Genomic DNA, 14184 nt, shown 5'->3' on the forward strand with positions numbered 1-14184 from the left:
TGTGGACCAGATCTTGGGAAGGAAACAGACTCTTCTGTCTCTTCTGCACTCCCTTGTTTGTGCCCCAGCCTCATTTGATGAGTGGGTAGCAGGGTATAGAGGAGAGAACACAGGGCCTCAGCTTGTGTGAATGACTTTGAGCTCCACATTTCCTTATGTGAGTCATATCACGTTAGCTGTTTCTTATAGTTCCGTGTCATCCACAGACTTGCCATTCAAGTCTACAGCTTCATTCAGATTCTGAATAAGAACACTGAGCAAGTTAGGGCCAGGGACATCATTGCCGCAGTGAGGGTGGCCTTCAGTACAAAGGTGTGTATGGTGACTGACCCCCTCCTGGTTTGCCTGAGACTGTAGAGTTTCATGGGATGTGGGACTTTCAGTGCTGAAACTAGCACAGTTCCACGCTGACTAGGATTGTTGGCCAGTCCTAGGCATGGATTGTACAGCTGCTGAAGCCCATCAAATGAAAGGTACTGCCTATCCTGCAGCCCCATTCTTGCTTATTATACACAAGTATGATGAGAAATCAATGTCCTGCTGAAGTTGAAGACACTACTTATCCTGAGAAAGAGCTGTCCTGCCGAAGTTAGACATCAAAGCTAGAGAGCATTTCCTGCTCATCAAGAAACCCCACCAGAAAAGCAACCAGGTTGGTTTGGCTTGACTGGTTCTTGTGATGCCCACCTCTGACTCCTAATGATAATGGCCCCCAAGCCTGTGCTATCACCTGTCTTAGAATTTTGCCAGGTATCGGCCTTAATGTTTGACACAGGAATCATCTTAGGATTAAATTTCAGATTTTTCATCTGCAGTAGTGACCACATTGATCTTAGTTTTAATATTTTTGAGACCGCCTCTCATAGCATTTTTAATGTTGAGACCACCTCTTTGAGCATTTTTTTAAGGTCACATATATATCGAAATCTAAACTATTTTGTAAAGCCCATGTAATTGTTAAGTGCCTTGTTAGCATATTTTTCTTAATTCATGTTTCAAGTAAATGGACTTATTTGGCTGTTGACACGTTTTCCTTTTCTTTTCTAATAGTCATACCCATCTAATTACATGGAATCCATGAAGCCTAACAAGTATGGGGTCATCTACTCCACACCATTGCCTGAGAAGTTCTTTCAGACCCCAGAAGGTCTGTCGCACGGAATACAGATGGAGCCAGTGGACCTCACGGTGAACAAGCGGAGTTCACCCCCTTCGGCTGGGAATTCGCCCTCCTCTCTGAAGTTCCCGTCCTCACACCGGAGAGCCTCGCCTGGGTTGAGCATGCCTTCTTCCAGCCCACCGATAAAAAAATACTCACCCCCTTCTCCAGGCGTGCAGCCCTTCGGCGTGCCGCTGTCCATGCCACCAGTGATGGCAGCTGCCCTCTCGCGGCATGGAATACGGAGCCCGGGGATCCTGCCCGTCATCCAGCCGGTGGTGGTGCAGCCCGTCCCCTTTATGTACACAAGTCACCTCCAGCAGCCTCTCATGGTCTCCTTATCGGAGGAGATGGAAAATTCCAGTAGTAGCATGCAAGGTAAATTCCGCCACTGCTCCATGCTGCTGCACTTGCTTAGCGTACTGGCGCTTCACCAGATGGGGTGGGTGAGGAAGCATGGGGGCAAGAGCTGTTGAACTCTTCAAAGGAAATACTCATCTGCCTAAGGCATTTCCTTCCCCCGCCCCCCCAAAGTGTTGATACTGGAAGAGATCCCAAGAATCAGGCTGTCTGTTTGATACCATGACATGATTACTTTCACTATGTAATGGTCAACTTGGGGATAGAAAGAATCTTGACTTTATGTTGCTTTCTTGAATACCAACATGGTTCTAGGTACAAAAGGCATTTAATAAATCCTTTTTGATTGTGGTGAAAACTAATGGTGATCAAAAGCTACCTTGTTTATCAGCTGGTCATAGAGGACTAAGGGGTTGAAAGGAAATAATCCAGAATTATAAGAACGAATCATTTCAGGGCTGGTGTCTTATAATCTAGGTCCCTATATTTGCTGCTTACTGGCAAAATAATGGTCAGGAGAGGTGAGAATCTCCCACAGATTTGTTCCTGCTATAGTCTGCCAAAGGCAAATAAACCTGTCATATCTGTGTTGTAGGTAGGAGCTATGCAGTAAGCTTTTAAAAGCTGAAATTGGTAAACTGTACGTGAAGTGACTTTTCTATTTTTATTTTTTAGTACCTGTAATTGAATCATATGAGAAGCCTATATCACAGAAAAAAATTAAAATAGAACCTGGGATCGAACCACAGAGGACAGATTATTATCCTGAAGAAATGTCACCCCCCTTAATGAACTCAGTGTCCCCCCCGCAAGCATTGTTGCAAGAGTAAGTATATTTAGGTCTACCCAGCATTTGCATAGTAGTGTGCATCTTGGAACCTGGAGCAGAAGCACAAGATTTCACACGTGTGATGTGGTGTGGATGACCAGGAACGGCTTGTGATCTGTGGCCGCCACTGGTCCAGTACCACTGGTCAAGATGGGAGAATCTCTCCAAAAACAATATGCTGTTACACTGACAACGTTATGACAAAAGTTACATCAAGTTTTCATGGAATCAGTCATCCATGATTTTGCACCTTACCACATGAATTATTTTTGTTTTTTTTCCATTCTTCCAGGCTATGTATACTTAGTTTTTCCATTATGAGAATCCTTGTATAGATTAAACTTGGTGTTCTGTGGATCATGTAAAGTTTTCATGTGGACACACATAGTCCTTACAGAGTGTATAGTATCCTGTAGAATTGCTATCCAGTAGGAAGGCTGTGCAGTGTTGGTCAGCATCCAAGCACCTGAATGGTGGTTTCTTGTAGGTCTAACATGGTATAATGTGGTAGTTGCCACACACAGCTTCAGTAACCTCATTTGTGGGATCCTGCTGTAGATAACCTTGACCTCCACCAGTGATTACACTGAAGGCTGGGTTTGTAGTTGCTAAGAAGATGGTTTTCGGGTCCAACAAGGATCCCACCTCTGCTCTCTGCCATATGTATGATCTTGGACTAGTCACTTAATCTTGCTGCCCCATTTCTGTTTTCATTATTGATTGTAGTTGTGATTGTCTTGTGTTATGGTGCTTCAGCATTGGATTCAGCAGCCAGCTTCCTAGTACGAAGGCAACGATTACCTCCACAGGGTCCCTTCCATTGTCCTCCTGCATCATTTTCCTCCAACTTGAATAAATGTTCTACCCACCTTTCTCCTTTATTTTCTCTACCCCCTGTACCCCGCTCCCTCTCACAATTAACTCTACAGCAGAATGTGAATTCTCTGATTTTAGAATAACTATTTTATGGTAACTTCAAATATATCCTAGTTGTATCCACATTCAGCTTGGGTAGGTACCTTCATAGTAGCTCATGGATTAATTGTCCACTGCACCCAATCATAGTCATTTTTGGTTTGGGTTGTCATATGCTCCCCAATAGATGAAGAAGAGAATAACTCTTAGCCGACTTCATCAGCAGGTAGGGAGAGAGTCTCTGATGGAGTTATATTTCATTATTCCTCACAATTGCATAGTGCCCTCTTACCTCAAAAAAAACCTTCCCAGGTGTTTTCAAAGGAATTATTTTATTCCTCCACAACAAGCCTGTGGGAGTCGGAGCAAAAGGCAAAGTGATTACCTGAGACATTAGATAACTCGCCAATATTCACCCTGCTAACAACTGAGGGGCCTTGGGCTTGATCTCCTGCTTCCGAATCAGGGCTTTTCCTGCCATCTTGTCATATCCAACCCATTGCATCTGCTCATGCACTCAAGTGAAAGGAAAAAATGACTAGGCAAAATGGACACATCTTAGAGGTGGAATTAACTCTTTTTTTATGTTGAGGGATGTTTCTGGCAAGGTAACTAGCAACGTGGCCTGCACTTATAGTTGTTCCTGCATGGGTGATGAAAGAGATGCTATAAAACTAAATAAAACCAACTGCCTCCAAGGGAGGGATCCGTTGACTGGACAAGTGTTATTCCAAAGTCTGGGTTATTATGAGTTGCAACGTAAAACATTACATAAGAAGATTTGAAGGCAATATTCTGTGCTCTGAATGCTGCTCAAAAGAAAATACTTTTATTTTAAGTAATATTCTTTTGATGATCTCAAGCTCAGTGGCTTTTAATGATTAATGAGTAATATGCTTATTTTAATGCTGACCTAAGAATACATTCTGCTTCTCAAAAAAACGCAACAGATTAGCCACAGCTGGGACATGTACTCTTTAAGTAATGTTCTCACAGATGTGATTAAGTAACGTCTTGGAGTATGCCCAGTAGCAGCCCACGTAGGAAACCAGCTAGCCAGGAAAGAATCACTTGAAACTAGGCACCCAGTACCACTGCAGTGAGGCAGCCCCAATAATATTTGCCTTAAGAAACGCTTCCTTTCCAGAGGCAGACTTAAAAGTACAGCTTTGAAATCCATTTGCTCGATTGTGGTGTGGCAACTTTAGGATTATTTATAAAGGCACTCAAAGGTACATCAAATTCTATTTGTTACAGATTTACAAAAAGATTTCTTTGTTCTAAATATACAAAACTATATTTAGAACAAAAAGCATAAGGATCAGATTTCCCTATTGAGTTGTGTATGCGAATTATAGCAAACTTAAGAGGGGCTGTCTCAGCTCAAAACAGTGGACAAGATATCTTATATGTATTAGCTCTGTAACTTCTTGGTTATAATAATCCCAAACCATCTCTTTGAAAATGGGAGTGGAGACCAAAAAGTGTGAGATCCCAAGACTCTTCATCTAGCCTTGGCCTGAACCAACATCAGCGTCTTCAGAGATGCGGCAGGTTAACTGTGCTCAGAATGTTTGAGGGACACAGCTCAAGCAGAGATATCCTGGTTTGGGGACATCCTCAAAAAACTCATGAAATTAAACAACCATAGGGTACAAAGTTACAAATAGACTATTTTGAACCTGAAAATATTCATGGCTACCATTTATAGCTTTATCTTGGGAACAGACATTGTTCCGAGATATAACCTTCTGAGATAACATTATTATCATCCCCAGTTTACAGAGAGGAAACTAAGACACAGAGAGGGCGAGATCTTGGCCCAGGATCACAGAGACTGTCAGTGACAGAGCTGGATTTGTAACTGGAGCCCACAGCCTTTCGGTGCACCTTTATGTGTAAAATAAACAACTGGAAAGGGCAGTCAGAATTACTGCACAGAAACGATTAGATTCCCAACCCATAAAATCCAATAATTGGGAGAGATTTCTAAAGTTATCTGAAAAAGATAGTCTCCCAGTATCCCAAAGACATATAAAAGTTTTATAGTTAATAATTAAATTTCTACCCCAGCACTTTATTTCCTGAATTTCTTTTAATGGAAATGAAATATTTTCATTAGATGGCATTAAAGCTGAAAGTTAAAAATAAACTGAACTTTTTTCTTTCTATTGAAGGATTTTAAATGAATAATTCAGCCTTATAAAAACTCTGTCTGTAAACCTCTCACTTTGCTGTGTTCTCTGCTGTTTGCACATATATATATATGTATATATATACACATATATATACACGTATATATATATGTACATATATATACATATATATATACGTGTATATATATGTGTATATATATACATATATATAATTGAAGTCATTTTTCTTTTCTCCCTCCTCACTACTTTATGTTCACTTTTCCATGTATCTAAACTTGGCCTATTTTATCCATCTCTACCACCCTTCCAGGTATTAGAGTAGGAAGGTGAGAGTCAAAACTGACAGTTTCCTTTGCTCATAATAAAGCATGAGCAGTAAATAAATAATGTTTTTTTTAAAAAAAAAAAGCATGAGAAGTAAGGTCACTTAAGAAACACACCTTTTATTCTTTTTCTAGTCACTTCTTAGCATGCCTGAAAAAGTGATTGACAAGGGATGTGTATTCAAATATTTACCAAGACAAGTTTTATACCAAGAGACTCCCTTTTGATTTTTATGGATAAATTTCTTTTATTCTTTTTTTAAGCTCACGAGTTAGAGTGTTTACTCTCATCAAATTCTTTTTTTCCTTTTCACACACCTTTTTTCTCCTCAAACACTTAGGCAAAATATTCCTGTATTATATGGAACATTTTAGGAGCTATAGATTCAAATATGAAAGAGAAAGAAGTCTTTCATTACAGTTAGAGGCCAATGACATACACTTGTGATATATCAAGTAATTAGTCATTAGGAAAGTGAATGAGCAGATTAGAACATTATAATTACTTACATTAATCAGCAGGGGAAGCCTGAGGAACTTAACAGACTTTTCCCAGCTCTTCCTCCATCTCCCTTTTCTCTCCACCACCTTCTTGCTGAAAAAAAGCTTAGATTGTAAGATTTTTAACAGGATTTGGTTTCTAATCCACCCAGGGAAGGTGCAAACTCAGGAATGAGAGAGAAATCAGGAAGGTAGGGAGAACGTCAGGCATGCCATGGGGGAGCCGGCACCACGTGAGCCAGCATCATGGGTGACCACAACACTACATTGAAATTCTCCCTCATACAGGAATCACAGTGACAGTGGAGGTTTGAGTTTGTGAAGACAGCAATGCCAACTTTTTTGTTGTTTTTTGGAAGAGCTGGCATTTGAAAATTGCACATGAATTGGCAGTCTCTAAGGGACTCCAATTAAATGCCAATTACATAAAGGATAAAAACGTAGATATACCCTACAATGTGGTTTCCTGAGACTTAGGAGTTTGATCTTTTCCATTTTTCCCTAGCCAACAATAATGAAAATCAGAGCAGCCTGTGAAAAAATATAGTGTTCAGCATTGCCTAGAACCACAAGATTCTATAAGTAGGCAGAAGTTGACTGAGGAAAAGAGCCTCCCCAGCACTTGGTGCCTGCCTCTAGCATAGCACTTAACCCTTCTTACTGTCATTACTTATCTCCATGTCTGTCTCCCCCTAGAGTGTGAGCTCCTCGAGGGCAGGAACCCTGTTTTTATTCATCTTTGTGTCCCGGTGCCAAGCACAGTGCCTGGCTCATGGTAGGTGCTCACTCAATGTTTGTTGAATGAATATAGCAGTGCTTCTTGGGTTGATCAGCTAATTTCTTTTTGTTTATTTTGTTGGGATTTTTTGTTTGTTTGTTTTTGCCCAGTGTTGTTAATGCTTTTAGTAGACTGATGAAAAAGGAAGAGCGTGCTCTCAACATTTGGCCTGTAACCTTGGCTTTCACAGGAATCACCCTTCGGTCATCGTGCAGCCTGGGAAGAGACCTTTACCTGTGGAATCCCCGGATACTCAAAGGAAGCGGAGGATACACAGATGTGATTATGATGGATGCAACAAAGTGTACACTAAAAGCTCCCACTTGAAAGCACACAGAAGAACACACACAGGTAATAGAAACACCAGACCCACTTCATCTTTCTTCTTAAGAAGTATTAGAATGGAATGCAAAGGTTGTTACGATCAAAGTTTTCAGGCATCTTGAAAGTCACCACAGTCATCTCCAGATGTGTCTTCTCCAGATTAGTTGTGCAGAATGAAGATATTGCTAATGATTTGCCTTTGTAATAAGTTAGAATAGATTCAAAGTAATCCCCAAAACAAGGCCACTCACAATCACTTGCAGTTCTGTGCTCTCTAGCAAAGGAGGGAGAAAGGGTTGGAGCCTTCGCCGCTGGAATGGGGGAAGTGCTTTCACAGTCAAGGATGTGGCCTTCCTGTGAGCTATTTCACATACCTGCATTGTAAATTCATGAGAGCGAACAGTCTTTGTGCAGCACAAATTAATGCAACAGTTTAACACAAACAATTCAAATAGAAGACTGTCCTTCAAGGAAAGAAAAGTGAAGAAATGTGGTTAATATTTGTCTTCTAAACTTGAGGGAACTCTTATGCCGTTGCCTACCATATTTGTTCTAGGATTTCTTCCATCTCGCCCAATACTGAATATAGAGCATGAGCAGCCAGATCATATAAAAGTCATTACATGGCCGAGAAAAATGTGAAATTGGTCTCAGTGCCAAACATTTTGGTAGTAAAACATCTTAAGGAAATAATACAAAAATGTTTTAACAGCCAGGTGCAGTGACGTGCACCTGTGGTCCCAGCTCCTTGGGAGGTGGAAGCAGGAGGATTGTTTGAGCCCAGGAGTTCAAGTCCAGCCTGGGCAACATAGGGAGGCCATGTCTCTAAAAAATATTAAAAATGACATCTTTTAACAGCCTGATTGACCATTAGTAGTGGTGATGTATGTACAGTAAGGCTCATCTCACCTCAAACTCTTTGATGTGGAATTCTAGTTTGACAGCAGTTTGCATCTGTGTACATTTTCCTTAGCAGTGTAGGTTGCTTTTCTGAGTCTTGCAAATCATTTTTACTCAGAAAATTTACAAAGAGGAATCTGAGGTTTGGAAGAGAAAAGGGAAGGAAAGTGGCAAAATGGAAGTGAAGTTTTTAAGTGAATCCTGGGAGGAGGCAGAGGAAGCTAACACCCACAGAGAGAGCTGAGGGTGATAGCCTTGTATCTAGAGCAACGCCCAAACAGCAGTGCAAATCGATGATTACTGAGGGCATCCTTGAGGCATTAGTGGGACCGAAGAGGTGGATGTTACCCACTTCCAGCCTAAAATTAAAAGGACATTGAATATTTGGGTGACAGTTTAGATGTAGGAAAAAAAAAAAAAAAAAAAAAACGCCTCTTTGTGTGTGTATTCTGTACCAGGAAGCAGATAATAGAAATCCTGCATATCTCATTCAAATGCCAAGGAATGGTAATCCCTCAAGGCTTCTAGAGAACAAAGGGTGTTAAATGGGAGTTAATTTTGTCATACTCATGACCCTTATGACTAATTTAAAAGGTAAGATTGCCATAACAGCCTTTTTATTTGTGAGGGTCTCCCTTCATCCTGGTTCTCCCCATCATTTTCTCACAAGGAGCTTTTGTTCCTCATCTGTAAATGATCCTTATCCTACAGGAGGGGGTTGTGAAAACCTGGCTCAGGACAGATGGGGAAGAATTCGTATATTTTAGTACCCCTGAATTAAAGCATTATACTTAGGCCTAATTGTTATTGACTAAACAAGAAAATAAGATGTTAATCCCTAACAGATACTTCAGTTGTTAGAGACTTCATATTTTTGGAAAACTATTGAAAAGTTTAAGAAAATCCCACAAACTTTCAATTTGGAGTTCTCATTATCTCATTAAATGAATAGCACTGCATATAATTAAGCTCCCAAGCAGGTTTAAGATTTGGGAGATGTGCAAATACAGATCACCATGTGTTCATTCACTATTTGGTAGTCCCTCAGAATGGATTTCAGTGACTCTGTGTTTTAAGAACTCTTAAAATTCTCCTCCCGTTTTTTTGGCAGAGAGCCAATGAAACATTACGGTATTAGTTCATTTTCTTCTTGCTTGTCTTGCAGTAGTTTATAATGCACTGTGTTATTGAAGAACAAATGTATGAACATATCTTGGAAATAATATTTGTCAAGCATTAACTCAAAGATCTTTACTACCTTTACAGAAAAAAAAAATAGCTCTTTTCTTTTTCCTTTTGCAGGAGAAAAACCCTACAAATGTACATGGGAAGGGTGCACATGGAAGTTTGCTCGGTCTGATGAACTAACAAGACATTTCCGAAAACATACTGGAATCAAACCTTTCCAGTGCCCGGACTGTGACCGCAGCTTCTCCCGTTCTGACCATCTTGCCCTCCATAGGAAACGCCACATGCTAGTCTGATTGCCTCTGTGTCCTGCCTCAGCGTGACTCCCCACTCACCTGGCTCTCTCTCTGTCCTGCCTCCCATTATCTAACACATTTTTTACATGTACATTTTAATTTGATTCAGCTGGTCTGAATCTCTGAATTTATATCATCCAAAACTTCCATATGGTCAGTAGTAGATGTTCTCTAATCCTCCCTCTCCTTACCACGGGTCAGACCTAAAGAATGTGAACACTTTTTTTTTTTTTTCTGGGGATGCTAAGCAAACCCTTCTTACAGATACGTTTAATGTAATAAGAACAAGGGAACATGTAAACTAACATAACCAATTGTCAGTTCTCCATGTATTCCTCAAAAGAATGTCAGAGTAAATGTATTAGAAATACAGTATCCAGACTGCTAGTCCTTGCCAGAGACATTCTTACCTCTGCCCTGTGATAATATTTTATGCTTGACAGTGAAAACAAGTGTGGCCCCTTGCACCGGTTAGCTAGAAGTACAGCCAGATTTCAAGCTAGTGCAGTCACCTCTTCCGTCATTCTTCACAAATCTTGTCAACCTGGATCTTAGACTTCATCTGAATCGAGTTCTTTGCCCTCCTTTGTGCCTGCAGCTCATATGGAGGTCTTTGCCACCAATGGGAGATGAGCCCAAACTTTCGATCTAGGTGGGTGATGTGTAGCAGTTCAAGGGAAGGGTGCTGTGTTTTCATAGCATGGAGTCGGAGGAGAGGGCCATTTAGCAGGGGGAGCAGAAGAGGCAATTCCTCCTGGGCTAGGGGTTGTCAGTGAGGTTTCAACATTTTGTTAGCTGTGTGCAGCATTCCCAGAGCTTCAGTCTCTGTGCATACTCAGCTTTGTAGAACCATGCTGCAAAGCCATATACCGATGGGGTTATCCATGCAACTATCTCCATTCCTACAATGTCCTTAATATGAGATCATCAAACATTGATAGTAGGGACTCCATGGAATATTTGCCCAGTAATGGTAAGAAATCTTTCGGGTAAGAGTATGGATGGTTCTTCTTTTACCCAATCTGCTTATAGCTTTTTTTGTAAACAGGGAAATGTTGAGTGGTACTTGTATTCCCTTATCAAATTAATCACATAGCTTTTATACAGAAACTCTTCCTGTGTGAGCTGTTAAGGTGCCAAATTGGCTGTCATTTGTATTCATGACACATACCATAAAGCATCTGCTAATGCTTTAATGGATTGATTCAATTAAGACCTGAGTGACACTATTTGTAAATATAACTAGTTGTGAAGCACACATACCTTTATTTTGGGAATTTATGAGAAAATATAGAAAACCACAGATCAGGGATTCATATATGTAGCTCAAAAATTCCCAAAAGTTTACTGTTAGAGTTGGCAATTTCCTATCACTATTTCAGTGTCAGAACAAACTGAAAATAATGGCTCGTGTTTATGTTGAAGATAAATAGCACCATTATTGGGGGAAGTTATTCAAAAGCAGGCTTTTGAGCACCATAGTCTAAATGCCAATAAAAATAATTCATACATAGAAATGTCATTGGTCCTGAATTTGAAGAAAGTGAGCAACAGTAGTTAAATGTGGGTGCATATAACCAAATTCCCCTTCATCAAGAATGGAGGAGAAGAGAGAAGAATGAAATCCTGAAGATTCATCCCAGCCGCAACTCAGGATCCAACACAACTTTAACTGGGAGGAATACATTGTTTGATCATTTTTAAAACATCTGTGAATGAGTGATTCCGGAGGCCTGTGAATTGTGTGGGGAGCTTGCTTTGATGGCACTGTGTTAATAAAAGTTGTAGGGACTGTGCACCTAAGAGGCTAAGAGGTCCCACTCATCCGCCCTGTGAACCAGCTGTAAAGAAATGTAGTTAAGAAATGCAAAGAAATGTGTTATCTTGGCACTTGGGTTTGATTTTCCTTTTTTTAAAGCACTGCAAAACTTCTTTAGGATACTAAAACATCCTAATTGGGCTGTTTTTTTGTTTTGTTTTGTTTTTCAGCTAAAGGCAAAGATAATTTTTTTTTCAGCTGAAGTTTTTCTTTTTTGCAACTATGACATGAATTGAGTGATAAAATGGCTCTTTGAAAAGTAGATATTGTCTGTATTGTAAATGCTTAGTCATATTCATGGCAAAGTGTTCATTTCTTGAGATGGTTCTTTCACAACACACAAGAATCAAGATGGAACGCAAGGAAAATCTTTTTGTTTTGACCGAGGTAACCAGTTTATGTGTGTTCCAATCCATAGAGAAGTGGGGGAAAGGGCGAGAAAGGATCAGATTGATCTGGGATCAGCTTTGAGCCTGAGTTCAGTGAATAGCCTCATGGGCATCTCATGGAATTGATGCATTTGCTGTGGCATATTTAAATTTTGTTCAAAAGATTTGAAGCAAGACCTTGCAAAGACTCTTAACATTACTGTTCAGCTTGCTTAGATTGTGTTAACAGTTCATTTAACAAAGATCCGTTTTAACTCTGAACAAAAGCAACCCAGAGCGGCCATTCTCTATTCCCATGCTGGTCAATACGCTTTCATTACCAATTGGCCCTTACCAAACTTTTCTTATATATATATTTGTATTTTACTATGATAGTTGAGAAATTTAGCCTCTTAGTCATTTTTAGCTGTTATTGTGGAAGACCTCAAATACAAGATTAGATGCCCTTGAACATGTTTTAATGATGTGTGTCATGTTACTATCAATGGTGATTTCAATCGCAATATTTTAAATTGATGAGAATGATTTGTAAACATGAAGTTACTATTACGTAAATTCTGTTTGTTATAGAGTTTCTTCAGTTGTTACCCAAGTGTCATCCTAGAGAAGTCAGAAGAATCAGAATCCATCGTATTTTAGAGTTATGTGAATCTACATCATAAATGGGCATTAACATTCTAAATTGCTTGGTTTGGAGAATGTGTTAGCAGCATAGCTATATTCAACTAGGGAGATGCTAAATACACAGAAGTTTCAAGAGCCTTGGAACAGAATTACAGGGGAACTATATATGTATATGTATATTTTATTAAACACCCATCTGCACTATCAGTATTGCACTAATGTGGAATTTGAAAGACTATTTTGCTGATACTGTATATATGCGCATCATTCCTGATTAGATTGTTGTAAAGACAATCTGAAAGATCTAAGGTTTTAAAATAATTTGGTTTGAAAATATACAGTTGTCTTGAAGGAATTGCTGTCATACATGAAGTTGCTCCGAGCTGTCTTTATTCTCTTCTTGGTCAAGGTTAACAATTGCTAAATGATCGCAAATTCACCTAAACAATACATTTACAAAGCCATCTTTACATGCATTAAACGAGGGCTACAACAATATTGTTTTACAAATACTAGCACTTTTTTTTCTGTTATGTACTTAGTGTTAGAGGGTCAAAATAATCTTTCTGCTTAGCATCTCTTAAACCATACCTGCAAATATAGCAGGATTATTACATTTACAGTACTTTAATACTTGTATAAACTATGCAGAAATTTTTAATAAAGTGTAATATATTTTATAAGCTAATAAGACTGAATGGGTAAAGGTTTTTAGCATGCATTAGTATACTTGCAGATACTGAAACATTTTGGTAATCTTTCTTACTAAAGATGTGAATGTTTAATGTACCTTCTCTGTTTCTACTCTGTAGTCCAATGGGAATTCAGTAATGACATTTTGTCATGTCAAACTGTGAACATAAATTTGTACTGTACAGTCCTCATATACTATATACAGTATGCAATATATATTATATACTTGTTAATAAAACCATCAGAATATTAAATGTGATCATGTGATTACTTCATATGCAGTGATCACTAGAGCAAAACTTACAGAGCAATGTAAGAACCCTTGCTTAGAACATTACTTACTCTGATGGGCAGTTATTGTTGATGGAGGGACAGAAAAATAGATCTAACTGGAAGATGAACTACCGGAATTAACTCAGCCCTCAAGCTATGTCCCTGGTTTTCTGAAAACAGCCAACAGGAAGTCTCCTAGGCTGAAATCATAAAACTGCAGACAATCCAGCAAAAATCTACAAACTCACCTAGTTCATTCTTGAAATACTTCTTGTATTTGTTATTTATGAACCCCTGCCTGCTTCCAAAAAGAACTTGCAGCATTTTGTATTAAAAGACGCATGTGTATAATACTTTAAACTTTTAGAGTAAAATATCAAGACTCTCATGTTGGGGAGTGGGGAACGAGGAACAGAACAATAACGCATTAAAGTAAATAACTCTGGATAAAAGTAATTATTTTTCAAGCCTTTAGTAACCATGTTCATGGACACTGCATTCTCCAGCATCACATGAAGAAGAAGTAGTTTCCGATAGGGATTTAGAGTTGAGTTTTGTTTTGTTTTGTTTTTGTTTTTGTTTTTGTTTTTGTTTTTTGAGACAGTCTCGCTGTGTTGCCCAGCCTGGAGTGCAATGTTGTGATCTCACTGCAACCTC

The 14184-nt window shown here is 39.3% G+C and overlaps 1 protein-coding gene across 3 annotated transcripts in view, besides 2 other annotated features; it reads left to right on the forward strand.

Moving 5' to 3' along the window:
- The window catches only part of KLF3 (KLF transcription factor 3), a 37319-nt gene extending 23336 nt beyond the window's left edge, over window positions 1-13983 (forward strand). The window contains exons 2-6 of one of the 3 annotated variants that reach the window (XM_047415764.1): window positions 429-652; window positions 1051-1537; window positions 2195-2345; window positions 7212-7372; window positions 9548-13983. In XM_047415764.1, the coding sequence (XP_047271720.1) occupies window positions 1069-1537; window positions 2195-2345; window positions 7212-7372; window positions 9548-9729 (963 nt within the window). In that variant the 5' untranslated portion in view covers window positions 429-652; window positions 1051-1068 and the 3' untranslated portion in view covers window positions 9730-13983. Of the gene's footprint in view, window positions 1-428; window positions 653-1050; window positions 1538-2194; window positions 2346-6939; window positions 7019-7211; window positions 7374-9547 lie in introns of those variants that run through there. The other 2 variants (XR_925142.2, NM_016531.6) reach the window with 2 other exon arrangements.
- Window positions 597-766: an enhancer, noted in NCBI's record as "experimental_79904 CRE fragment used in MPRA reporter constructs". NCBI's record gives its function as "activates a minimal promoter by MPRAs in K562 erythroleukemia cells, with activity observed for the introgressed 4:38689837 or rs729063 variant allele {active_cell/tissue: K562}" and the evidence as "EXISTENCE:reporter gene assay evidence [ECO:0000049][PMID:34662402]".
- Window position 682: a transcriptional cis regulatory region, noted in NCBI's record as "Neanderthal adaptively introgressed variant 4:38689837 (GRCh37/hg19 assembly coordinates) or rs729063 in the experimental_79904 CRE". NCBI's record gives its function as "modulates activity of the experimental_79904 enhancer by MPRAs in K562 erythroleukemia cells {active_cell/tissue: K562}" and the evidence as "EXISTENCE:reporter gene assay evidence [ECO:0000049][PMID:34662402]".
- Window positions 13984-14184: the final 201 nt, after the last annotated feature.

Source organism: Homo sapiens, chromosome 4, assembly GCF_000001405.40.
Source record: "Homo sapiens chromosome 4, GRCh38.p14 Primary Assembly".
Lineage (NCBI taxonomy): Eukaryota > Metazoa > Chordata > Mammalia > Primates > Hominidae > Homo > Homo sapiens.